General features: G+C 39.7%; 1 long non-coding RNA gene across 2 annotated transcripts, besides 5 other annotated features; it reads left to right on the top strand.

Annotated features, from left to right (window-relative positions):
* Positions 1 to 657: 657 nt before the first annotated feature.
* Positions 658 to 25,073, top strand: LOC105373712 (uncharacterized). 2 transcript variants are annotated; one of them, XR_923513.3, is made up of 4 exons: positions 658 to 699; positions 1,584 to 1,685; positions 2,185 to 2,287; positions 24,592 to 25,073. It is a non-coding gene; the product is annotated as an uncharacterized LOC105373712 (long non-coding RNA). The 2 variants fall into 2 exon arrangements; XR_923512.3 differs by having other exon boundaries at positions 658 to 916; positions 24,592 to 25,070.
* Positions 8,635 to 8,694: a silencer, noted in NCBI's record as "silent region_12028". NCBI's record gives its function as "represses an Ori minimal core promoter by ATAC-STARR-seq in GM12878 lymphoblastoid cells {active_cell/tissue: GM12878}" and the evidence as "EXISTENCE:reporter gene assay evidence [ECO:0000049][PMID:35858748]".
* Positions 8,855 to 8,904: an enhancer, noted in NCBI's record as "active region_16678". NCBI's record gives its function as "activates an Ori minimal core promoter by ATAC-STARR-seq in GM12878 lymphoblastoid cells {active_cell/tissue: GM12878}" and the evidence as "EXISTENCE:reporter gene assay evidence [ECO:0000049][PMID:35858748]".
* Positions 9,045 to 9,174: an enhancer, noted in NCBI's record as "active region_16677". NCBI's record gives its function as "activates an Ori minimal core promoter by ATAC-STARR-seq in GM12878 lymphoblastoid cells {active_cell/tissue: GM12878}" and the evidence as "EXISTENCE:reporter gene assay evidence [ECO:0000049][PMID:35858748]".
* Positions 20,259 to 20,478: an enhancer, noted in NCBI's record as "active region_16676". NCBI's record gives its function as "activates an Ori minimal core promoter by ATAC-STARR-seq in GM12878 lymphoblastoid cells {active_cell/tissue: GM12878}" and the evidence as "EXISTENCE:reporter gene assay evidence [ECO:0000049][PMID:35858748]".
* Positions 24,649 to 25,848: an enhancer, noted in NCBI's record as "CDK7 strongly-dependent group 2 enhancer chr2:158320283-158321482 (GRCh37/hg19 assembly coordinates)". NCBI's record gives its function as "activates an origin of replication core promoter dependent on BRD2, BRD4, P300/CBP, MED14 and CDK7 cofactors, with strong dependence on CDK7, by STARR-seq in HCT116 cells {active_cell/tissue: HCT116}" and the evidence as "EXISTENCE:reporter gene assay evidence [ECO:0000049][PMID:35650434]".

Genomic DNA, 27,666 nt, shown 5'->3' with positions numbered 1-27,666 from the left:
AAACTCGAAAGAGACAAAGATTGCACACACTAAAGCTTGTTTATGGCACCTTAAAAGACAGCACTTTGAATTGCTATTCCCCAGTTCCTAAAGTGGTAATGAGATTTATAGGTAACTTTAAAAGTTTTTCTTTTGTGTGTTCGCTTAGCACTTAGCACATTATAGGCATTCTGAAGAATGGAGCACATTGCACATTCCATTAAACAATTTGGGCAAAAATAAAGTGTAAATAAACATAATAGCTAGTGTAGCCAAGTGCTTAGGGCCCCTAACTGGGTTGGCAAAAGAGCATGGAGTAGTGTGAGAGCCCATAGGAGCTCCTCCACCTCCAGTGCCCAGCACATAGTAGGCATTCAATAAATAGCTGAGGAATAATGAAACAATGAATGCATTCTTTTTTTTCTAGCCACTTTGCTTGCAGTGGTTATCTTAAGGGTGTAATAAAGTAATAATTGCTTCGTGACTATGTGGGCTCATAAGTTAATGTTTGCAAAGTGCTTTGAACTTCTTGGGAAAAGGGATGGTGTTTTTGTTGGCACTGTGTATTGTTTGCAGTGGCACACAAATTCCTCCTCCTCCTCTTCCTCCAGCTGCCAGCACTGTGCCCTCCCCCAGCTCTGTGCAGGGTCAATATCTCCCACAGGGCAGCCTCACGGCCTTTACTGCCTCTCTCCAGCCAGCTCCAGCACTACAGGACAGGTAGAGACACAGCAGACATCGGAAAGATTTCTTTAAGGCCACCGAGGAGAAATGAAACTTGGGTCGATACTAATGATTCTTACAGGGATTGGTGTTTAGAGGGATGCAGATGCTTGGCCACCCGTGGAAGTAGCTATTGGACAGACACACTCATCCGTGAGGACACATCAAGCTAGATCCTGAAGGGGAGATAGAAGTGTCATATAGGCAAACGGGGGTATGTGTGGAAACAGCTGTTTTTTCAGTTTTATGTGGCCCATATACATAATACAAAACCTTGGCTAGTAACGGGCAACAAAATGTTACATAGTTCTGTTAGTAGGAACCCATAAGACAAGTCAGATTTCTTTTATGAGTACAATTTTCCACTGCTATGATTTCTTTCCTCATTATTTTCTTTATATTTGATGATGGCAAATAACGGAGTTCTGTCTCACATATGGTTAGCCAAGACTGCAATAGTTTCCAATGCATTTGTTACTATTTTTTAAATTGCCATCATTGTTAGGAACTTCATAATTAAACAACTCACATGTGATTTGGAAAACAAAAGCTATGTTTTCTGTTAAGAATGGATGTCCTTTGTGAACAAATTCAAGCAAAAGAGTTTTTTTCTTTTGTGTTATACCAGGTTAACTTTCAACTGATCACACATGATAAATATCTCAAAATAAAACAGGGAGAGGCAGTTACAGGTTCAGAATAACTAGAATGACTATGGGAGGCAGATCTTGCCTTAAAGGCAAGAACACCTTCAGTTTTCCACAAGTTGGAAGTGACTTGTTTTCTAGATCACATCATGAGCTTTTCTGTGTGTGTGGAAGGTTTTTCATGTTAATTGCTGTATGTGTGGCAAATTCGCTCTCTCTACAAATTATTTCTAGAGATTGGAATTAAATGTCACGTGGAAAAAAGCCAACATGGCATTCTGTTAAGAAGATAGACAACCTAAGTGACGTCTATCCTGCTTCAAAGACAAAACTCAGGTAAGTCTGACTTTAGTTGAACCACATGAAGTTAACCAAGAGCAAGGCTTAGGTTTTGTTTTTAAAAAAATATATAGAAGGAAAACTCCTTCCAACTAAAATACATTCATTATTTACCTGAAAACAGAAGTAGGTGGAGCTGAATTTGTAGTTAGATTATAGTAAGTAGCATTTGAAACTCTGAAAGCTTAGAGTCCACATAAAAGCCACAAGTACAACATTTATTTGGGAGTAACTCCAGATGAGAAATGGTTTCTTTTGTCACTTGATTCAGTATAAGATGAATTTTTTATTTGTACAGAGCTTGAGAATCACATAGGCATCACTGAATTTTTCTTTTTTTTCCAATCTCTATTTGTGAGTATTTGATACTAGACAGTTTGTCCATGTCCTGAAATAAATGGATGAGAACTCATTTCAGGGAAGATAAGGTGAGCAGTCTGAATTAGGGGGAGGCTGTATTTCCTTTTCATTATGTTAATGACCTGTTGCATTTCAGGAGGCTGTACATTCATTTAGAGCAGAGTAGACGAAACCTCCTATTCTCTGGCTTGGGAACCAGGAGGAATCACTGACTGAGATTTGCCAACCAGACCTCTATGGTAAGTTTGAATTTGAAATGTGTGGGTTGATTTTCATTATTCATTATTTCTTTTGATCTTGGGGAGGGGAAGAAATTAGCAAGTTTTAATGCAGTGTTATATATTCAAATAAATATCATATTGAGGAAATTATTGCTGGAAATTTTTTATTCAAGTGTTTAATGAGTAAGCTGACTGACTCGTCATCCAAGTATTTTGGACTTCTTGTTGATACTAGGTTTCGCCTATTTTTTCTTATATGATCAGTGGATTTGCTATGGGGATATCTTATGTCAAGGCAGATGTCGAGTTTATGACATTTAGACATCTATTTTTGATAATGGAAGGGTTCAATAAATACAAGAGTGTGACATCAACACAAGGAGAAGGAAAGAGACGAGATTGGTCTAGGAAGTTGAAGGTTCTTATTAAGAAAAAAGAAAGGAGGGAGATGGTGAAAAGCCAATTTTACATTGGTTAAGCACTAGAACTCAAACATGATATTCTAATGATGAAGACAGGTTGAGTGGGCTCATGGGAGTGTGTGTGTGTGAAAGAGAAAGAGAGGGAGGGAGGAAGGGAGGGGCAGAGAGAAAAACAGAGAGAGAGAGAGAGAGAATTGATTATTTTCTTAGCTGTATCCACTCTAGCCTTTCTCAGGACAGGAACCCTGTCCTTTCACCTCTGTATTATCTGCAAAGAATAGATAATCAACAAACAGTTTGATTGAATAGGGTATCTCTTTTTGTGGCTGCTACAGAAAAGATCAGCAAACTAGTTGCTTTTATGTGCTTTCTGTGACATAGGGCTCAGAGCTCAGCCAGAGGCAGCTGAAACTTCATCAAATAAATAGCCAAAAGGTGAGCTTTGAGTGTTTCACAAAGTATTCTGTCAAATTCAGATCATATCAGAGTTACATTTTAGGGCTAGACCACCAGGAGTCAGGGCGTTGTCTCTGGGAAGACTTTGTTAAGTACACTTTAGGTGTCCTGTAAGAAAGACACAGAGCAGAAGATCTCAAATTTTAAGCACGTAACCCGCCGGACAGTATTCAAGCACTGGTTCCTGGGTCTCGCTTCTTGTGATTCTGATTCAGTAAGTATGAGATGGGGGGATGTGTGTCCCTGGGAACCTATATTTTGTAAAGGATGCTGGTGTTGAAGGATCTCAATTTTAAGAACCATTTCTGGGGTTTCTCTAGCTTGTTTATCTCATTAAAGGCTTATGAGCGCAGAACACATCAGGAACCTGGCTCTTAGACTCAGGGCAGCTGGGATGAGAGGCAGTGCCTGTGTCTCAGGGACTTGTGTTTGAACACACTGTGGCGTTGGAAAAGGCACCTTTCTCTTTCCAAGGTTCAAGTATTTTCTTTTTGAAAGAGGAGAACAGTATTGTCTACCTCGTGGGATTTGAAGAAATCGTGCATGCAAAGTGGGTTAGCAGAGTGACTGACACGTAATGAATTAGTAATTGTTAGCTCTTGCAGTGGGAAGAGAAGAGGGATGCCAGTAACAGGCCCTCTGTGGCCAGGAAAAATGGTTTGGGGCAGACAGACCCAAGGCATCACAATAGAGGAGGCTAGCTGTGGGATCTTGAGCATGCAGGGCCAGTGTCTAAAGGTAAATTCTAGACCTAACGATGAATAAACATGAGGATAGGAGACACACTTTCTCACTCTAACAAGTTTTTTTCCAAGAGTGGTAATGAGCAACCCAGATGGCACAGCTAATTGGAATCATAATTGATCCCACAATGGTATTTAAGTCAATAGTTTAATTGATTTTCCTCAGGACAACCATTATGAGAACTTCTAAAGAGAACAAAGTGAAATGCATCAAATACTGTGACTGGTTCATATTTGCTACCCCCGGGCGGGTGTGGTGGCTCACGCCTGTAATCCCAGCACTTTAGGAGGCCCAGGCAGGCAGATCACCTGAGGTCAGGAGTTCGAGACCAGCCTGGCTAACATGGCAAAACCTCACTTCCACTAAAAATACAAAAAATTAGCCAGGTGTGGTGGCGCGCGCCTGTAATCTCAGCTACTTGGGAGGCTGAGGCAGGAGAATCGCTTGAACCTGGGAGGTGGAGGTTGCATTGAGCTGAGATAGCGCCATTGCACTCCAGCTTGGGCAACAAGAGCAAAACTCTGTCTCAAAAAACAACAACAAAAAAACATATTTGCTACATGCTGTGCGTGGAAGGAAGAATGAATAAAGAGAATAATGGTCTAAGAGGGGAGGGGATACAGGGATCACAAATCAAACAGACTGTCATGAGTCAAATACTTGTCTGGTCATTCAGTGCAATGTTAGGTGGTATTGAACCAGATGGTGAGGCCAAGTACTCCCCTGCAATAAAGTACCAAGAGCAGAGGAACCAATACTGGTATCTTAGGTGCCTTCCTTAAATGGCAAAGATGAAATTTGGTGGCACATAAATGTATGATATGATAGAAACAGCCAGCAAACAAACAGATGGGGCATACGAAGGATGAATGGAGATGAGGTATGATCAGATGTCTCTGAGCATGTCATGTAGCCTCCTTTGGCCTAAATGTTCCCTCTGAGTGCCCTTCCAGTCCTGATAAAATGTTATAAGGCATATAGCATGGGAGAAAACCCATCACTTTATGTTTTTCTTACCTGCAGAGTAGTCCATAAACTAGGGCACCTAAGTTATTGTGAAATGCTAGCTACTTTGAGGAATTTAGTTTACCCTGAATTATGATTTTTTTCCATAAGCCAAAATTTCCACTTAAATATATTTTTACCAGTACTGTTATGACTCTGGATGTAACTGATATCTTTTCAGTAAATAATCACCCTAATAGGTGGTAATTATGAATAAATGATGAAAAAAATGCTAACAACAGTAGCCACTGTTTTTCAAGTGCCTATCATCTGCTAGGTCGTATTTCATCATTAATCCTTTCAGTAACCCTGTTAGAAGGCATTATTATGGCCATTTCCCATGTGGATTCTCAGAGGTCACAGAGGTAGTAAATACATCAGGACTTTTTTAGATGGAATAATTTTTTATTACAACACCAATTTATTCCAAGTTAATATTACAGAATCTTAAAAATGTAATGGAATGACAATAAAATTAGGAATCCAAATAATCTGGATTTGACTTTTCATGTAGTGTTTATACTGAGGGATCTAGTAAAAGTCATTATTTATGCCTCAATTAATTTTATTAGTGAAAATAAGATGATGACACTTACTTCATAGTTATGTTTCAGAATAGAATACAATATTTTTGAAAAGATTTTAAAATCTGCTGGGTGATGGCTTTATAGCATCTTTATGCCATGCTATGGGTTCCTATTCCTAATATATTCCTTCCTCTGCCTCTTTGCCCAATATATAAAGTTTCAACCTCTCTAGTTAGCAATATTTTCCTGTCTTGCAAAGCCTAGCTCAAATTCTTCCTGCTCAATTAATATTTCTTGATGACATTAGACATCGTCATGGATTTTAAAAATTATCTAAACCATACTATCACGTTATTGTACTAGTCTATTATATATGTCCATCTAATCTATTTATTGTTTCCATCTTCTCAGATGAGAAAATAATGCCCATGAAAAGTGTCATTGATATGGGGTAAAATGTGTGATATAATATGTTGAAAAAATACAATTTCAAAATTGTTTGAAGAAAATACTTTCAATTATGTTAAAATACAGTTCTGTGCTAGCCTTTCCAGTAATTTATGGCTTCAATCGAATTCATGACAAAACATCAGATAAAACCAAATTGAGGGCCATTCATCAGAATACTTGACTGAATCCAGGTCTTTCTTATTCGTAGCCCATGTTACTACTACTATAATGCGCTGTAAATCGGCTATACTGAGTGCCATCATTATTAATCTTGTATAGTTTGCTCTTTGATTTGAAGTCTCCTAATTATTATTAAAAATACAATATGGAGTGTATGTTTAGTGTCCTACTCCTTAATTTCTCACTTGTGATCACTTTAATGAAGTACTTCTCTTCCTAATGGTAATATCATATTATTTTGTTTACTTTTAGTAATGAGTTTGCTGAATATTCTGAATTTCCCTGGGGCATATATATGAAAGTAACTTTTTTTTTCAATTAAGCTTTGTCAAATTTCTCTTTTACTTGGGCAGATCCTGTGATCTTTTGGTTAGGCTTCTATAAAAAAAACAAAACCATAACAATTCAGTGTTAGAAAAGCTTCAATCTCAATCTAATTTAGAGCTATTGCCTCCAACATCACAGATCAGATATAAGGTGTCGGGAATAGAAGACGTGGGTGTGGTCTGCCTTCAGGATACTATCTCTCCTTCCCTCTTCTAGGGTTCCACAGTTTGTGGTGATTTGGGAAAGAAAAGAAAGGACAAGTCTCTCACATTTAATAGTGCAGCTGAAGTTTGTCCTCTGTAAAATTTTGACTGTTTATCTGGTTAATGTGGACTGGGAGGCAGAGGTCTCTATCTGGGAGTTTTCAGAAGCCCCTTAGGGACCTCACCACTGCACAGTCATTGATATCTCATACATGGAACACTCCCCAGCTCCTGCTGCTGAGATGTGCTTTCAATGGCCAATCCTTGTGGGTAGAATTTGTCAAGATAACACAAACCTAGCTACTTCTCCCAAGTTCACATGGCCTATGGAGATACACATGTGGGTTGCCCCAGAGCTGTGCTCTCTCCCTTTTCTAAGTCACTTTTTTTTCCCCTCAGTTCAGGTAGGTACAGTGGCTTGATTGGCAAGGCCACTGCAGGTGCAGATGTCAAAGCTAGAAATGTAATTCTGGCCTTCTCTTCCTATAGGCACTCCTTCCAGGCTTTAAGAGTGGTTCTCATGGCAGCCCCGAAGTTGGTTCAGTGGTGAGAGGCATGTCTTGGTGGAATAGATAGAAAACTGAAGTATTACTCCCTTCCCACCCCTACCAAGGCCACCTTACACCTCTAATCATTTCCTTCTTCTCTGTTCCCACCTCAGTCTTCCTTTCAGACTTGACTGGAGAGGGAGAAGGTCCAGTTTGGGGTGATGATTTAGAGCAGCAGAGCCTTTACCTGGTTGTGTCTTCGTAAGCCTTAAAGAAGGTGGTTAGCTCCAGTTGTTCTCAGTTCTCCAACTTCTCTATTTTAATATTGTGGCCTTAACTGCCAATTTTGGGATAACAGAAAAACTTGTACTCAGTAGCCTGTTACATTTGTGCACTTTGGGGAACAAAAATTGATATAAAATTGAAAACTTCTCATCTGCAACAGAAGCTGTCAAGAGAATGAAAAGGCAAGTCACAGACAGGGATACAATAATTACAAAAGATGCATCTGATAAAGGACTGTTATCCACAATATGCACAGAAATTGTAAAACTCAACAATAAGAACACAAACAACCTGATTAATAAGCGCGCAAAAGATTTGAACACACTTCACCAAAGAAGAACGAAAGATGGCAAATAAGCATATGAAAAGATACACAACATCATATCTCATTAGGAAATGCAAATTATTAAATGCCTAAGGTAGTCTTCTTTGGGTTAAATCTGCTTGGTGTTCTATAATCTTTTTTGGATTTGGATATTCATATCTTCCTCTAGGTTTGGGAAATTCTCTGTTATCCCTTTGAATGAATTTTCTACCTCTGTCTTTCTCTACCTCCTCTTTAAGGCCAGTAACTCTTAGATTTGCCCTTTTAAGGCTATTTTCTAGATCTTGTAGGCATGCTTCATTGTTTTTCATTCTTTTTTCTTTTGTCTCCTTTCACTGTGTATTTACAAACAGCATGTCTTCAAGTTCACTAATTCTTTCTTCTGCTTGGCCAATTCTGTTATTAAAAGACTGATGCATTTTTTGTATGCCAATTGCATTTTTCAGTTCCGGATTTTCTGTTTGATTCTTTTAAATTATTTCAACCTCTTTGTTAAATTTATCTGATAGAATTCTGAATTCCTTTTCTGTGTTCTCTTGAATTTCTTTGAGTTTCCTCAAAATAGCTATTTTAAATTTTCTGTCTGAAAGGTCACATATCTCTGTTTCTCCAAGACTGGTCCCTGGTGCCTTATTAGGTTCATTTAATGAGGTCATGTTTTCCTGGGTCGTCTCAATATTTGTAGATATTCATCTGTGTCTGGGTATTTATCGTAGTCTTTGCAGTCTGGTGTTTGTACTGGTCCTTCTTGGGAAGGCTTTCCAGATATTTGATAGGACTTGGATGTTGTGATCTAAGCTGTATCTGCTTCAAGAGGTACCTCAAGCTCAGTAACACTGTGGTTATTGCATACTTGTAGAGGTACTGCCTTGATGGTCTTAGACAAGATCTGGGAAAATTTTTTGTATTATCAGACAGGGACTCTTTTTCTCTTCCCTTAGTTTCTCTTAAACAAATGGAGCCTCTCTTTCTATTCTGAGCCACCCAAAGCTGGGGGTGGAGTGATACAAGCTCCCTTGTGGCAATCACCACTATGACTGTTCTCAGTCAGACCTGAAGCCAGCACAGTACTGGATTTCACCCAAGGCCTGTTGCAACCACTCCCTGGCTACTGCCTATGTTCTCTGCAATCAGCAAGTGGCAAAGACAGCCAGGCCCGTGTCCTTTCCTTCAGGGCAGCAAGTTCCCCCAGGCTCCAGGAAGGCCCAGAGGTGCCACCCAGCAGCCAGGGATTAGAGTCAAAACCCTTAGAAGTCTATTATACTGCAGCTGAGCTGGCATTCAAACTACAAGATACAGTCCATCTCACTCTTCTCTCACCTTTTCAAAGGCAGAGGAGCCTCACCTCTTGGCCACCGTCACCACAGGCCTACAGGGAGTACTACCAGACTACCACCAATGTTCCCTTAAGGTACAAAGTCTCTTCAGTCAGCTTGTGGTGAATGCTGCCTGGGTTGGGACTCACCCTTTAGGGCAGCGTGCTCCCTTCAGGCCCAGGGCAGGTCCAGAAATGCCATCCAAGAGCCAAGTCCTGGAATTGAGGACCCCAAGAGGCCTGCTTTGTGCTTTACAACCCTGTGGCCAAGGTGCATGACAAAGTCCCCTTTGCTTTTCCTTTCACTTTTTTCAAGCAGAAGAAGTCTCACCCATAGCCATCATGGCTGGGAATGTGCTGAGTCACCCAAAGCCAGCAAGTTTCAGAGTCTCCCCCAAGACCCTCAATGTAGTACCTGCATATTGCTGCTGGTTATTCAGGACCTAAGGGCTCTTCACTTAGCAGGTGATGAATGCTGCCAGGAAAGCGTCCTTTCTTTCAAAGCAATGGGTTCCCTTCTGGCCCAGGGTATGTCTGGAAATGTCATCTAGGATCTAGGGCCTGCGAAGGGGGCCTCATGACTCCAATTGGTGTCCTATCCCGCTGTGGCTGAGCTGGTATCTAAGATGCAAGACAAATTCATCCTCACTCTTTCCTCTCCTCTCCTCAAGTGGAAGGAAAAGGTCTCTTGTGGAGCTGTGAGCTATGCAGCCTGGCGTTAGGGAAGTGTTAATAGCAGCCCTGCCTTAGGTGCTGCAGTGTCTCAGTAGGTCACATGTCCCTCCAGTCAACTGTCTCTGAGCCCAGTTTAGCCCTAGGACTCACCGAGGAATTGTAGTCCTTGTGACCTAGAATGCCTTTCGAGTTTATTTAGAGCCCCAGAGCACTTTAGACCATGGTGGTGAGGCTTGTGGGAACTCAAGTTCTTACCACTGGGATTGATGAGAACTTAGCTGATGCTCCTTCCTTGGGTGGGTGATCAGCTAAGTTTGGACTGGTTTTCCTTTCTGTTATAACAACAGCACTGAGTTTAATGCCTCACAATTGCTGCACTCTCCCTCCCCCAGTTCATGGAGAAGCTTTCTGTACCATACCACTGCTGCTGGGGTGGGGAGGTGGAGGGGAAGGGTTATGTCTTTTTTTCTACTTTTTCAGTGCCCCTTTCAGCAATACAAAGTTAAAACCAAGTACTACGAGTGCTCACCTGATTATGGGTTCTTATGAAGATGGTTTTTTTGTGGGTAGATAGTTGTTAAATTGGAGTCCTTGGGGTTTGGGAGGGGAGCGATTGGTAGAGTCTTCTATTCTTGATCTACCTACCAGGAAATGTAAATTAAAGTGACAGGATACTACTATAGGCCTATGGGAGTGGCAAAAATCCAAAACACTGACAACACCAAATGCTGATGAGAATGTAGAGCAACAGGAACCCTCATTCATTGTTGGTGGAAATGCAAAATGGTACAGCCGCTTTGGAAGACAGCTTTGCAGTTTAATGTAAAACTAAACATACTCATACCATAGAATCCAGGAATTGGTCTGCTTGGTATTCTCCCGAATAAGTTGAAAATTTAAGCCCACACAAAAACCTATACATGGATGTTTATAGCAGCTTTTTTCATAATTGCCAAAACTTAGAAGCAACTAAGACGTCCTTCAATAGGTAAACAGATAAAGAGACTGTGGTACATTTATATGATGGAATATTATTCAATATTAAAAAGAAATGAGCTATCAAGTCACGAAAAGACATGGAAGAACTTTAAATGTATATTAGTAAGTGAGAAAAGCCAACGTGGAAATGTTACATACTGTTTGATTCCCATTATACGACATTCTGGTGAAAACAAACTGTAGAGACAGTAAAAAGATCAGGGATTAGGTGGGAGGAAGCAATAAATAAGTGGAGCACAAGGCCGGGCGTGGTGGCTCACTCCTGTAGTCCCAGCACTTTGGGAGGCCGACGCGGGCAGATCACGAGGTCAGGAGATCGAGACCATTCTGGCTAACATGGTGAAACCACATCTCTACTAAAAATACAAAAAATTAGCCAGGCGTGGTGGTGGGCTCCTGTAGTCTGGGAGGCTGAGGCAGAAGAATGGCGTGAACCCAGGAGGTGGAGCTTGCAGTGAGCCCAGATCGTGCCACTGCACTCCAGTTCGGGCGACAGAGCAAGACTCCATCTCAAAAAAAAAAAAAAAAAAAAAAAAAAGGGGGGAGCACACAGGATACTTAGGGCAATGAAACTATTCTGTATGATATCACAATGCTGGATGTATCATTATACATTTGTCAAAACCCATAGAATATACAACACCATGAGTGAACCTAATGTAAACATGGGTTACATTTGGGTAAAAGTGATTGCTTGTATTTGGGTAAAAATGATTGGCTATATAGGTTCATTAAATATCTTCATATCAGTATCATGAAGGAAGTAATATTGGTATGCCCATTTCACAGGTAAGGAAAATGAGTCATAGAGGGGCTGTAACAAATGTCTCACTCTGGTGCCTAATGCTGATAGTGGGGGAGGCTGTGCAAATGTGGAGGCAGGGGATATATGAGAACTCTCTGCACTTTCCACTTAATTTTGTTATGAACCTCCAACTGCTCTAAAAATAAAATATATTGAAGATTAATTGATAATAAAAATATTAGAGTCACAGGTAACCAAAGCACAGAAATTGGCTTTCTAAATAGATGACAGATTTCCTCACCTTTGCGTGGGACAGAATAAATTTTTTTAACTTTTATTTGAGGTTTGGGGTACGTGTAAAGATTTGTCACATAGGTAAACACATGTCACAGGGTCTTGTACATATTGTTTCATCACCCAGGTATTAAGCCCTGTACATGTTTTGTTTTATGACTCCATCCCTTGGACAGAAAATGTCTAGTGCATCATAGATGCAGTTGAGCCTTCTACCTTCTCTCTGTATTTTATTTTCATAGCTACTGATATGGAGCAGCTATTTCATAGCTACTAGGGAGCAGCAAAGGTGGATGAGAAGAGACTGCCTCTTCCTGGAAGGCTTACCCTTGATAGTGAATCTACTTCCAATGTTGCAGAGAACTATGTGTCACTGTTATTGTTCTGAATGATGCAACTCTATGGAGACTCTTTATTACCTAGAAAAACAGCAGTCTCTGAAAGTTGAGATTCTGTTTTCTTAGAATACTGTTTTTGGTGTTCACAGCTTTAGTTAGTCATGAAACCAGGTTATGAGAAATAGGAGCTGGCAAGTTGGACATGGCATAGCTGTAAGAAATGTCTTCAGCAAACTGATATTTGCCTACAATGTTATTCTTTCACATTTAGCTACATACATTCATTCTGTGCCTTGGTTTCTCAGACTTTTCTCTGTAACACAAGAGATTTTGCACAACTAACTCATTTAATCTTCATTGCAACCTCATGAGGAAAGTTAATATTGGTATGCCAATTCCACAGATGAAGAAACTGAGTCACAGAGAGGCCATAACTGGCCTACTGTGAGATAGCTAGTCAGGGGTAGAGTTGAGATCTGAGTAAAAGCATCCTTGCTTCAAAGTAGGGTTCTTAATCACTCTACTGGGTTGCAAAAAGCCACAATAATAAAAACAACATGAAACTGGTTAAAAATTAGAACTATTTATGTAACAAAAATAAATAGATTGGAGGTAGAAACTAGGGTATAGTTTCATTATAAAATTATCCAACCCAACAAGGGTTGCTATTTGGAGAAATTGGTTATTTGGATTGAAAAGTCCAGTTTAGGCAATCCCCCCTTAAAGATAATTACCCATTTTATTCCAAGTGGGTTAAAGAGTTAAATATAAAGAGTTAAACCAAAATAACTTGGAAGAAATATAGATGAGTATTTATCTTATCTCTGGATAGAAAATGATTTTCTAAACATAAAAGCAATTAAGAAAATCACAGAGGAAAGACTGATGAATGAAATGAAATATTTCTGTATATCATAAACAAAATGAAGACAAATAACCAACACATGTAAGAAACTGTGATTTTCATATACATTTGAAGAAAATAACAAAAGAGAAAGCGGAAGTGCTTAAAATATGAGCAAAGTATGAAAAATACTCTTTTTTTTGTAAAATATGAAGGGCGAATTTTTAAAAATGGAAAATAAAGCAAAATTAGTAAGCATTTTCCACAGAGCACATTTTATCAAAGACTTTTAACTGGTAATAACTAAAGCTGTTGGGAGTTCTGCAAGATCAGTAACTTCATGTACAATCTTTCTGCCAATAATTTAGCAATATCCATCAAGAGACTTAAAAATAGTTATATTTTTCAGACCCCTATTTTTTTAACTTTTAGTTCTGAGGGTACATACGAAGGTTCATTTACATAGATAAACACGTGTCATGGGGGTTTGTTGTACATATTATTTCATCACCCAGGTTTTAAGCCCAGTACTCAATAGTTATCTTGTGTACTCCTCTCCCTCCTCCCCGTCTCCACCCTCAAGTAGACCCAAGTGTCTGTCGTTTCCTTCTTTGCGTTCATAAGTTCTTATCATTTAAAAATGAGAACATGCAGTTTTTGGTTTTCTGTTCCTGCATTAGTTTGCTAAGGATAATAGCCTCTAGCTCCATTCATGTTCCCACGAAAGACGTGATCTTATTCTTTTTTCATGGTTGCACAGTATTCCATGGTGTATATGGACCACATTGCCTTTATCTAGTCTGTCATTGATGTCGTTTGATGGGCGTTTAGCCTGATTCCGTGTCTTTGCTATCATTAATAGTGCTGCAATGAACATTCGCATACATATGTCTTTATGGTAGAATGATTTATAGTCATCTGAGTATATACCTAGTAATGGGATTGCCGGGTGGAATGGTGGTTCTGCTTTTAGCTCTTTGAGGAATTGCCATACTGCTTTCCACAATGGTTGAACTAATTTACACTCCCACCAACAGTGTATTAGTGTTCTCTTTTCTCTGCAAACTGGCCAGCATCTGTTATTTTTTTGAATTTTTAACAACAGCCATTCTGACTGGTGCGAGATGGTACCTCATCATGGTTTTGATTTGCATTTTTCCAGTGATCAGTGATATTAAGCTTTTTTTCATATCCTTGTTGGCCACATATATCGCTTCTTTTGAGAAGTGTCTGTTCATATCCTTTGCCTACTTTTCAATGGGGTTTAAACCACTATTTTTTAATGTAAGGATTTATACTAATAGTTATATGGACAAAGATTTATGTTCAAATTTGATCACATTATTATTTCTAACAGTGAACTATCAGAAATAACAATATTTAATAAAATTAGATTACTATCAAACTAGAAAATTATGGTTCTGCTATAGTATGGACTGTCATATCACTATTAAAATCATGTTGTGATTAGTTATTAGTGATAAAAGAAAATTATAGCGGGTAGTGTTAGTGTTTAAGTGTAACAAGATAGTGTTTTAAGATACACTATTTAAGTGTAATAAGAGAATATACATAGTTATTTATGCATAATTATCTCATCTGGTTAAAATCAATAATAAAAAAGGACTAGGGAGGTTAAGACAAATGTTCATGATGATTTTTGGTGGTAGTGGGATCCTCTCTACTTTACAAATTATCTGCAACAGAGAGATAATCATGGGAAAAATGTATTTAAATAAGGAAAAGAAACAAATACAAAAGGAAATACCGAGACAAATAAAAAAGGGCAGATCATTAGAAATGGTGAGAGGCTCACGGATATGACTACAAATCTGAAGTGAAGGCAGAGTTGGAATGGAGTTTAGAGCAAATAGAAATACTGGAGTAATTCGTGCTCATGGCCAGCTCCTTCAAAGCACTGAAGTGTATAGAACGGCTGCAAGGAAAGACCTGAGCTTCTCTGTCTTGTGATGAAAGTGAGTTTTGTTTTTCTAAAACAAACCAGTTCTCTGCCCAAATTTACATTTTTATAGATGCCACATATATTTTCAACCTCTAAAATATTTTGGTTAAGATGTTTTCAAAATAATAAATCTTCAAAATCAGTCTCTATTTTCTCTTTATTTTGTTTAAGTCCATGACCTTTCAATTTATGCAATATTTTAATTTTGGGGGAGGGGGGCAGCAAAAGTAGATGTAATTTGTCTATTAGCTATTACTTTGATTTTTATAGTCTAAATATGTGGAAGTTTCCAACTTTCTTATCTTTATTGCAGTTAGACTTTCTAAAATGCCTTAGAGGAGTTTGAAGGTCTCATTATTTTCTTCAAACACTTTATTTCCCAGGAAGGTAGATATTTGTATCTCTTGCCTGTAGAATCTGCTCTATGGTTAGGAGAATTTATGTCCCTATTTTTTAGTTCTCACTTGGATTTCTTGATACTGAAAAAAGCCTCCTGAACTCAGGCCTTTACATACTTGTCCTCAGCATAATGGATGCCTGGTCCACACACTCATGTTCATTTCTTCAGTTTCTCCCTCCCTCTTCAAATTACCCTGGGGCCTTGATCGTGTCTTCTCTTGCTATAGCCTGTCTACCACTACCTAATCTCATATTCCAGCAGTAAGTGATCACTTATGTAGGCTGAGAGGAAAAAAATGTTGTTTTCCTGAATTTCTTTTTAGGAAATAGCAGTATATTTTTGTTAAAACATAAACATAATTGCTTATGCCCAATAAACTTTTACAGAAATAAAATATACTTAAAACTGTGTTTTCCATTGAATTGTCACTACAACATTTCTTTCCTCTAGAACATTTCTTTGCATTTAGTCTTAGTAAGATTGCATTGGGTTCTCCATCAGCCCAAGGTATGAGATGCTGGTTGTTGGATCTGCAAAGCATGACTGAGTCCCAGGGCATTAATCATCATGGCATATGCATTATTTTGCTGCTGTGCTCTGCTGAGCCAAGGAGATGATGCATATGTATTCACACTCCTCCACTCTCACTTTCTTCTTCCATCTATACTTTCTCTCTGAAGGCAGTTTTGGCTGCCACCAAGTACTGTACCCCAAATGCCACATTTTCAAATGCAAATGCCTGTTTACAGGAACATCTTGTCCCTTGGGCCAGTTCATCTCTCTGTGGTACATACCTACCGGTAGTATAGCTATAACTTTGGCTGCTGCTTTGTAAGTATAAAGTCACAACCAGAATTGTAACATGCAAATTTAAAACTGGAATGTCTACAAGTAGGCTCAAATACCTTTGGAGTCACTAAGTTTGTTTAGAGGCATGGAGCTATATTAGCCTGGGACTTGACTTCATGTCCCATAAACCCCTCTGTTCCCTCTTGGAATCTGTTGCCATTAACCTGTGATGTATGTACTCTGCCACCATTACCTCTAGCTCTAGCACTCATCCATTCATATGGCAAATATAGAGAGAGCACCAACCATTGCCAGGCACTCTGCTAGGTGCTAGACATGCACAGTGGAAAAGAGGAAAGAGCCTGTACCATGAGAGAGCTTACGGTCTAGTGGAAATGCAGACAAGAGAGCTAATTAAAATATGCAGTGTTAAGAAAAATCCTCTGTGCTGTAATGGAACCCAGTCCACAGGAAGGACACTCAGATTACCCTTTAGAAGGAGTGATGAAGGAAAGTTTCCCAGAGAAGTAATCCAGAACCCAAAAAAGAAAGGCTTAAAGCTGTGGGTCTCATGCTTCCAGGTCTCCCCCAAAGGATACACTGGGATTCCAGGAGTTCCAGGGTGACAAAGCAGTCAATCATCCAAACCAAGCTTGGACAGGCTATGGCAAGTAATGGGGACATACAAATCTTTAATCTCTGTTTGCTGTTGGTGATGATGGCATCACTGAAATTTTTGAGGTGTATTCTCAGGGTTATTTAACACACATTAAAAAGAAAAATGTATTAAAACTGATTTTTTTTCATGAAGAAAAATCTTGAAGATGTTTCCCTGGATTGAAGAACTCTTCTGGGGTCTGACCACAGGTCTAACTTCTCTGGAGGTTGGTTTGATACCCACTGGAGTGACCTCTGAGAATGGACCCCACTAGTGAATAGCCTCATTAGAGAGGATGTGGGTGGAGAAGGCTGAAGTGATGCTGCCATTTCTCCAGGATGCCTTCTGTAGATTCATCTCTGCTCTGCTGGGAAGCAGACTTCACTGACTCAAATTTTTTTTTTTTGATATTTTAAATTTTGAGTTAGGGTCTCACTCTGTCACCCATGCTGTAGTGCAATAGTGCAAACTTGGCTCCCTGCAGCCTTGACCTCCCAGGCTCAAGCGATCCTCCCTCCTCAGCCTCCTGTGTAGCTGAGACCACAGGCACCCGCCACCATGCCCAGCTAATTTTTTTTTTTTTTTTTAGTTTTTGTAGAGATGGGGTTTTGCCATGTTGCCCAGGCTGGTCTCAAACTCCTGGGCTCAAGTGATCTTCCCACCTTGGCCTCCCAAAGTGCTGGGATTACAAGTGTGAGCCACTGTGCTGGACTTCAAACTTCTTGAACTTTAGCATTCTCATGCTTGCCACAATTGTTCTTCAGAGCTTGATTGGTCAGTGATATGCTGGGTCTCAGCTTGTTTCCCCCTTCTCATCATTGTTCTAATATCATTCCAGATATCTTTATTAATGTTACTGCTACTTCTAACTACTACTACTATTACAACGACTACTACTAAGGGTTTTGTTTTGTTTGTTTTTTGTTTTTTGTTGTGTTTTTTTTTTCTTTTTTTTTTTTTTGAGATGGAGTCTCACTCTGTCACCTAGGTTGGGGTGCAGTGGTGCGATCTTGGCTCATTGCAACCTCCACCTTCTGGGTTCAAGCCATTCTCCCACCTCAGCCTCCCAAGTAGGTGGGAATACAGGTGCACACCACCATGGCTGTCTACTTTTTGTATTTTTAGTAGAGACGGGGTTTCACTATATTGGCCAGGCTGTTCTCAAACTCTTGACCTCGTGATCCACTGGCCTCGGCCTCCCAAAGTGCTGGAATTACAGGTGTGAGCCACTGTGCCCAGCCAGGGTTTTGTTTTTTGAGTGACTATATAGTAGCCAATGTCCTAGGCATTTTTTTTCACATCATCAGAACAACCCTGCAAAAATAAATATTATTATCTTCATTTTGTGGTTTAGGTGACTGAGGTTCAGAGAGTTTAAGAAACTTCAGTTTACTGAATAGTATTCTCAGCATACGGAACAAATATAAAACTTAATATACCATTGTTAACACCAGAATTCCACTGAGCACAAGTACCCTTGATTCAGGAAACCTGTGCCGCCATGCTTCCTGTTACGGGGACCACTGGCAGCAATTTGACTGGAACAGCCAGATGGGCCCTGTGGCTTTGACGGTTATTGCAGGTTTCAAGGCAAGAAAAGGGTCTTCTTGAGGGCAAACAGGCCCATTGGAGGGAAGCAAGGGTGTCAGACTCCAGAGTCAGCAAGCAGCAGAGAGGCCTGACCACTCCATCCAAGGGCAGAAGAGTCACTAGGTGCTGACTTTCTGTTTTGTTTCATTTTTGTTTGTACTGACTGCTGGATGTCAGTCATTATGGGCTTAGGGGTGTTAATTCTTGGCAAAAAATGATCTGAAATTCTTTAGTTGAAACCACCCTTCTTCGGGACAGGGAGAGAAATGCTTGGATTATCAAGTCAAAATTAACATCAGCAACCCCTTTTTTTACCCTGCCAATACAACGACCCTTTGGTATGCTGTAGAAGCTTTATGATTTGAAAAAAAATTTATAACAAAACAATTTTACTTATGTTTTTTCTCTTTGCTGCAAAATTAGAATTGCTTATTCTAGCTTTCCAGATGTTTAAATCCTGAATAAGCAGGGTTTTCATGTACTAATAAGCTTCCATTGTGTGGGCAGATACCATTATTGAAGGAAAGTTAGAGACCTCTGAAGTTCTCCACTGCATCCCAGGCTGTAGACACTACGTTAAATTGACGAGCAAACATGGCCCATACAAATGAGCAGGAAATAATGCATAAAAATGGAAGTTTAAATTTTTACCCTCTACCCTAGGTAAGAGGCTGTGAACTGGTGTGTGTGCTTTGGCAGATAGGTAAGAAAGTGTGGAATTCCTTACCTAGAGGGAATGAAGTTAGAGTAGGTGTCCTGTTGTTTCTCATCAGAGCATTGAAGAGATGGTTTCAGTGGTGGAGTAAGAGATGGACCCTGGGAGGCTAAGAATAGAAGCTGTGGTTAGCCCCAGACTATGGGCTAATGGGGCTGTATTTCTTGTTGTTTTGAAGTAATGTGAACCTCAGTGCCTTTTCTGTTGAAGCAGTCTGTGTGCTAATTACTTGTGATAAAAGGGTGCTTACAAGATATCAACAAGAGTCCTTGGCTTGTTATCTGAAGATGGTTTCCTTTTCCAAAATGAGGGGGAAATGGTCTGGAAGACCTGGAGCTGACTATGTTTTATCAACATGAGTTGACTATGTAAATCCTATGTACAGCTTGTTTGCTGGTGATTTAAACCAGCGTTTAAAAGTCCTGGATAACGGTTGTCACAGAATTCTTGTAGGTGATTTTTTTCCTCTTTCAAGAACTTCATATAGAGTTAATTAGGAACTCTTCATGCCCTTATACAATTCAATTTAACGTATCACTAAGAACTTCAAGTATGTAATTTGTATAGCCCACTCTTCATATTCATTAAAATTCACATACACATTTGTTCATATTCACTGCACAGTGATGGAATCAGAGAGGTTTTGTTATTTAGTCACTCTCTTGGTTTATTTAATCTCACTGAGTTTATGCCAAAAGGGATTTAAAGTGGCTAAATTAATAAAATTCAACAAAGTATTCCTGACCACACAGCATTTCTCTATTTTTTGGAAGGTTTTTCCTTCTAAAAAATTGTGGAGGTAAAGAGTTTTCTTATATTTTGAGTAGGTGAAATCATCCTCAAGTTGAAGAAAAGAAAACAAAAATTTTTTCCTGAAATGCCAGAAATTTGCATGGGGTAAAACACCTGGTTCGTAAGAAAAAAAAAAATCAAGCCCAGACATCCTTACCAAGCTGAAACAATATTTCATGTTTCTAAGATACTTGGGTGAGTTAAACCAAACAGGAAGCAGCAACAGAAGTCCCTGAATCAGAGAGGAACTGATCATTACTCATTTGACTTTGCAAGCAGAATGATGACACCATTACCCTGAAATCTAAAAAACTTAAAATAACTCCTTGTCAATTATGAAAATACTTACGGTTATGGTCTTCTGTCACGTAATCTCATGGGCAATTTCAACTTCTCCCTATCCCTTAGACTACTCCAACCCTTCATACTTCTAGAACTAGATCATGTTTTTGCAAACTTTTTAGAACATGGAACACTTTGGGGGAGAAGAAGGCTGAATCACCCCACTCGATCTTTTAAGTGACTTAGCCCACCCTAAATAACTTGAATGCGAAACCTACACAGGAAAACAAGTGAAAAAATTGGTAATTCTTTTACATAATTGAGATAATGTCTAGTTTCTTAAAATACAGGGAGAAGCTAAACATTAGATGTCAAACTATCGTAAACACAATTTCCTCGGCCACCTATGGATGACAGTCATCTGTAATACACAGACAACTTGTCACGCCCAGTGAACACCCTGAAGAAGGAGAAGCAGAATGGGGAAGTGGGATGGAGGTTTTAATTTCATGGTCTTTTGTGTTTTGGAAAATGTAAGTCAATGTGGCATTTGCAGAAGTTATCACATTGTTACAGAGCCAAATTACACCTTCCCTTGCCATTGTATCTAAAATGCTGGCTCCTTTTTATTCTTTGATATAAGGAGAACAAAAGGTATTTCTCCTTAAAGTAACAGTCAAATTTTGCCACTTGGGGCCCTGTGTTCATATGCCATGCCAGTGCTCAGCAGCTCCAGGTTTCTTAGATATTTTTATTAATTTTTATTGAGTGCTTACTATTGTGTCAGGTAGTCCTACAGAACTTTAATTTCCACAAAAATCCTATGAGGTTGGCACTGTTTTTTACATAGATGTGAAACTGAGACACAGAGATAAAATGCAGCTTTTCCCAACAACTTGGTTGCCTACTGTTCTCAAGGGGTATCTAACGTGTAGTACTCATGGGGTGCCTATAGGACTTGTTTAGCCTTTTTTCTCTTATTTTACCATTATTTTGAAACTTTAAACTGTTTTTGAAGTTATGAAGTAAGTACGTGTATAAAACCAGGATTAGAACATACAAAGAGACAAATAAAAAGAAGTCTTCCTTCCCTAACAACCCAGGACTACTCCACAGAGGTAACTATTTTTAATTTTATGTATTAGAAATTTTCTATGCCTAAACTAGATATGCATATGCATACACATTCATTTTTATGTATGGATCAATTAAGGTACATGTGTCGTACCTTGACATGGTTGACGCATCTGTGAACATGCTTGTCTCCCTGAATTCACTGTAAATTCTGAAGTCATACTATGTGTACCATTCTGGTTATCTGCTGTTAAGTAACAAATGATCCCAACACTTAGTGGCTGAAATTAACATTTATTTTGCCCACAGACCTGCAGTTTGAACAGGTCTTTGCTGGAAAACCTCATCTTTGCTACACTCAAGATCAGCTGGGGTGGTGCAGGGATTAAGGGCTGGAATCATATGAAGGCTCAGTTGCTCACATGTGTGGTGTTTGATGCTGGCTTTCAGTTAAGTCCACAGGTGACCCTGCGGCTAGAACACCTTCACGTGGTCTTTCCATGGAGCTGCTTGGCTTTCTCAGAGTATGGTGGCTGGGTTCCCATCAGACGCCCATCAGAGCAGGGCCTGAACAACTGGTATCATTGATGTTGGCCCTCTGACGTTGAAACTAGGCCTGTAACACCAGCTGAGGTCTGCTGTTGAAGAACACATCTGAGCAAGCATAGCAAAGTAGGCTGTGCATATGAGAGATGTGGAGACAGGGTGGAAGGTCATACTCATGGATTTGTTTTGGAACTCATCCGGTTATGTCTTATTTTGTCTTTCTTATTCCTCTGTATTCTCTTCTGTAATGTCCTTCTTACTGTCACACTCAGTTTCCAAGTCAGCTCTCAGCCTCCTCCATTCCCTGGATATTGATACACTTGTTCTCTCCTGGCATCACATCACTTTAACTGATAGCCTGGAATCAGCCCAACCTGGCCCCTGGCAATACATCAATTCCCAGCATCACACACATGCATTCCCTTGTAGGTCTTCCCTCATGGGGGTCTTCATTTGGCCATTCAAGCTCCAAGGGTTCTACTCTCCTTCCGAGTTTGGCTCCAATAGTGTTAGAGTAAACAATAGGTAATAATGTGTTTACAAGGGCTTAGAATCAGAGACACTATTGAAGAAGACCTTCTTCTGCTCATATTTAAGTATATTTGAAAAACAATTATCAGAGGGCCAAGGCCAATATTGTTAGCTAAATATTTCCGGCTACTTATAGGAGATGTCTGCCATGCTACCTACACTATTTTCTTCACTCAAGTGGGTATCCATAGCATTGACTAACTCCATTTTCCTTTTAATATAGTTTATGATTATTTTTATAGCTTAGACTATTCTAAACCATTCCTTTGAACAGATCCTTAAAGGCCCACCTCCAGCTGCCTCACCATTGCCATCCAAGCACTTCTCCTACTCATAAGATTCAGTGGTAGAGTATGACTTCATGGTAACCACGGGGGGGTTGCCCGATAGAGGAAGATGAAGCAATTGAAACGAATTTCATGACAGCCTTTTGATGTTCAGGCCAGATTCCCTGAGGGGACATTGGTCTGAAGAGATGGTCAGACCTTCCATTTTCTAGTTGAGCTCAAGATGAGTATTTCGCTTCGCTTTCAGAATGATTGTTTTTGGAAAGCTATGAAATGTTATTTATTAACCTTCCATTGCCAATGGCTTCTGTAGTGTGAAATAAAGAAAAAATTAGATTTCCCAATGTGGCAAGGTTTTCATGAGTTAATTTTTGGGACTCAGAAGTTGAACACTGTTTGGAAGAGCTTGGCTGTAGTGGTAGTAATGAAATTGGGTCACATAACAGAGCAAAATTCTTAGGTTCCCTGCCATCACTGCTTGTGATAGCATCATCCTCCCTGGTCCCCAGGATGGTTCAGAGTTGCAAGTCCCTCTCCCATTGCTCCTTATGCCTAGGATTCACAACTTGCTTATCCTTCTGCAGTGTTTCTTTCTTCTACTCTGTCCATTTCTTATCCACGGACACTGCTCTAGCACAAACTTTTTTTTTTTTTAGACAGTTTCCCTCTGTCTCCCAGGCTGGAGTACAATAGCACAATCTCGGCTCACTGCAACTTCTGCCTCCCAGGTTCAAGGGATTCTCCTGACTCAGCCTCCGAAGTAGCTGGGATTACAGGCATGTACCACCACACCCGGCTAATTTTTGTATTTTTAGTAGAGTCGGGGTTTCGCCATGTTGGTCAGGCTGGTCTCCGACTCCTCACCTCAAATGATGCACCGGCCTTGCCCCTCAAAGTGCTGGGATTACAAGCATAAGCCATCCTGCCTGGCCTCTAGTACAAGCTTTAATTGACTATTTTTAAGATGGTGGCACTAATTGAACTGGTCTTCAGCTTTCTTCCTTCCAATTATCTTATAAGCCACTGTCTTATCAATTTTCCTAAAATCCCCATTTAGTAACGTATGCCTTTACTCAGAAAGATTGGCGATTCCTTTTTGATAACTGAATCAAGTTCAGTGTATTCATTACACCAATGAGGTGCTCGGTAGTTCTGTCTTACGCAGCTGCCCACATTCCTGCCATACCAGCTTTGTCGCCAATCTCTGATAGCTCTCCCAGTTTTCTCCTCTTGATGACTCTCCTTCTCATTCACATGTGAAATGCTGGTTCTTCCCTGGTACCATTTCTGACTTGAAATTGTGCTGATTCTCTAAATTTGTCTTTCACCTTCAAAGGCAACCTCGGCTCCCTTCTGAAGAGGAGATGAATTTCTCTGTTGTGTCCTTTGAATGGCTTTGTGCTGTTTTCTGTCTTGTACTCTGTAGAGGTGGGCATGTTGAGTTATTTTGCTAGACTCAAGGCTCGTGCAGGGCAGAAGCTAGGCTTTGCTCACTTCAGCATCACGTTCTCCCACACTTAGAGCCAGACATGTTGTAGGCCTTTGCTAAATGCTGTTGATTTGAACAGAATATTCGCAGATTCTCTCCAGGAAATGGTTGAGTTTAATCTAGACCATCAACTCAAGTTTTTGTGTCTATAAAATGTGTAAAGCAAATATGATAAGAAAGTAGGTATGATTAATTTGATGTCAAGTTACTCTGATCATATTTCCTAAATCAAGACATCAAAACGTGATTTCATAAAGGATGTTTAAAACCTATAATTGACAAAGGACAATAGGACAGTTTCCTCCAAATTGGATATATTAAATTTGATTCCTTTTATATGTTAGCACATAACAACTAATGACTCTTATAGCTGCAAAAATATATAGTAGTGCCAATGGTTGTTTACTCAATATGCTGTCATGGGAAGACTTTAAATATTTTGGTATATGTATCTTTTTAGTTTTTTAAAGAAAGCATACTTACATTTGCCTTTATAAAAACTTGTATAAATGTAAGGGGTACAAGTGCAGTTTTGTTACATGGTATATATATCTTATGCCTTTATTTTCCTCATCTCTTTTTAGAAGTGAGCTCTATCACATGGTACGTTTATGAGAAGAGGAACCAGCAATGTTTCCTTCCATCTTCAACTATACTAACAAGATCCATCTGATGTGTAAGCTAGTCTGGGAATTAGGGGCACAGAAAATTGCATATTAAAGTCATACAACGTTGTTTTTTAAGAAAAGCTCTTTCTGTGATTTGTTGCTCCAAATCTTTCTTCTCTTGTATTAAAAACTATAATGTTGAGAAATGATTCTCTTTGCACCTGGTAACAATATTTTAGTAAGCCTCTTTTCAGTTTTGAATAGTTTGTCATTTTTCCATGAGTACCTTCAGGTCATACATATACTTGGCTTTTAAATTTTTTTTTGGAATGCTATTGTAATGGGCCTGCTGTTCAGTCCCACCACACACTTAGCTACTTCTTTTGGGTGCTTGGGTGCAGATTTTCCTTTGAAGCCAGTCGGAGCTACATGCACAGATGAAACGTGTGGCAGGAAGGGGACATTTCCCACCTTCTCCTCTCTTGGGCCCTTTCATCTCTGTGTGGTGATGTTTTCCACTCCTCCGTAGATAAGAATCTTTTTGTAAATTTCCCATATTTAACACCAAGACTAAATGCTGTTAAGCAACATCAGTCATTCTCACCACATCCACTGAGATTAAAAGTGAGTCAGACAATTAGGTTACTCTGGCAGGAACTGTGGCCCCACAAACTGATTTTTGATAGTGTCTTCCAGCATGTTCTCTACTGCAAATGCTAGGATTCAGGCTAGGGCAATTTCCATTTTGCCTCCCCCTTTAAAAAAAAAGAGAGAGAGAATGAGATATATATTTTAATCTATTCTGGATACTTTCTCTGCTTTTTTAGGGCCAGATGGATGCTCAATGATACCGCTCAGTTCTTACGTGTGGTCACTGGATTTCATCTAACCCTCTTCCCCAGAGGTCTTGCTTAACACTGAAAAACTAAAAACTTAAGAAGAAGACTATCTTCCCCTCCGCCCGCCCCACAAAATGGAATCTTGCTCTGTCACCCAGGCTGGAGTGCAGTGGTGCGATCTTGGCTCACTGCAGCCTCCGCCTCCCGGGTTGAAGCAATTCTTCTGCCTCAGCCTCCCAAGTAGCTGGGATTACAGGCATGCACCACCACGCCCAGCTAAATTTTGTATTTTTAGTAGAGACAGGGTTTTGCCATGTTGGCCAGGCTGGTCTTGACCTCGTGATCGGCCTGCCCCGGCCTCCCAAAGTGCTGGGATTACAGGCATGAGCCACCGTGTCTGGCCCAGAAGAAGACTATCTACAAATTCCCTTGACAATCCATAGCAATAATGAATGGTCTTTCCTTTCAGGAAAGTGCCACCTTAAGTGATTGCTTGAAGAGAAATAACCAGTTGGTTCTTCTCTGAGGGTCTGAAGAGTGCCAGGTCTGCCATGTCCTGCACTCCTTTAGATCATCAGAAGACTTCACAGGCCAGTCCTCGTGCTGACCTGACCATTCCAGACCCTGTAACTGAGGTCTTAGCTTCTTCTTGGTTTCTTTCTCAGAATTATCTTCCAGATCTCTACAACCTAGGAAAGGCTAAAACTGAGGCTTTCTTTACCCTAAAATTATTTCCCACATTTAAGTTTCTCCTACACGAAGTAAACTCAGTGGAGGAAGCTTGCTTTTCACCAACCAGCTCCACTCCAGCTCTTTCAGTTCTGAAATTTAAGGATCTGGAAGGGACAGTCCAGAGACGTTTTAACGAAAGGAAACTAAACTTTTGACTAAAGGACATTATTTGCTTTTAACTAAAGGAAATTCTTAATTTTAACTAAACGAAATTCTTAGTTTTCCTACGTGTGTGTTTTCATATATGCTTGGGGTTGAACATTGAGGGCAAGTGAAAAGTGTTCTTTAAATATTCAGATATAAACTACATTTACTATTAAACTAATCTAAAGGACTCGCCTGCACCACCAAGAGTAATTTTCTTTTAGAATAAACAAAACAAAATTTTGTTTGGAATAAATTGCCAACCAGTAATTTACGTTTACTAACTTATTTAGGATAATTTTCCACGTGTTCTTCAGCAAACTGAATACTCTGTTACTAGATAAGTTTCCTTGTCTATAAAATTAAGCAGAGGAAGTAGATTGTCCCAAAGATGTTTTTAACTATAATCATATTTTTTGATTTTGTGATCCTAGAAAAACTTCAGTGTTTATCCTAGATAAACTTCAGTATTTTCAGTGTGGATAGAAAGGTGATTAGAAGGGACAGCTGGGCAGAAAGACATTAAGTACAGAGTTCAAAGTAATTTGGGAGTCAAATTGGATCCTCTCTCTTCCTCTGAGGAAGTGTTTGAATGACTCAGGAAGGGCCTCCAACCTTCTCCCCTCCTGCTACTTTTTCTTCTTTCTCTTCTTCTTTGTCCTCTTGTTTTCCTCTTTGTTCCCCTTATGCTCCTCTATTTTCTTCATTCTTTCCTTTTTTTTTTTTTGAGGCAGGATCTCGCTCTGTCACCCGGGCTGGAGTGCAGTGGCATAATCACGGCTGTCTGCAGCCTCAACCCCTGGGCTCAAGCAATCCTCCCATCTCAGCCTCCTGAGTAGCTGGGACTAAAGGCACAAGCCGCCACACCTGGCTAATTTTTAATATTGTGTAGAGATGGGGTCTCAATATGTTGCCCTGGCTGGTCTTGAACTCCTGGAGGCAAGTGATCCTCCTGTCTCAGCCTCCCAAAGTGCTGGGATTACAGGTGTGAGCCACTGTGCCCAGTCAATGCAATGGATTTTTACTGGTTTGATATGCGTATTTTATTTTTCAATGAAAGTCCAGTTACCATGATTAAGCCTATATTCTATCTCCTTTGCTACCCCATCCCACACAACTAAGCACCAAAGTTGTCTTAGATTTATTTGATTTCAAAGAACAGGAAAAAGGAAATCAGTAGTTCATTTAGTGATGTTTTCCCTTGGACATTTTCCATGTACCTGAAGAATGATTTTTCCACGTATGTGAAGAGTGATGACCTATTTTTTTTGTTGTTGCTTACCTAGAATTATGTTTTAATATTGATTTTTTTTTTTTGTCAGAGAAGATTTCAAGC

Source organism: Homo sapiens, chromosome 2 (assembly GCF_000001405.40).
Source record: "Homo sapiens chromosome 2, GRCh38.p14 Primary Assembly".
In the NCBI taxonomy this organism is placed as follows: domain Eukaryota; kingdom Metazoa; phylum Chordata; class Mammalia; order Primates; family Hominidae; genus Homo; species Homo sapiens.
Note: the sequence above shows the minus strand (reverse complement) of the source record. Positions and strands in the feature narration are given on the sequence as shown.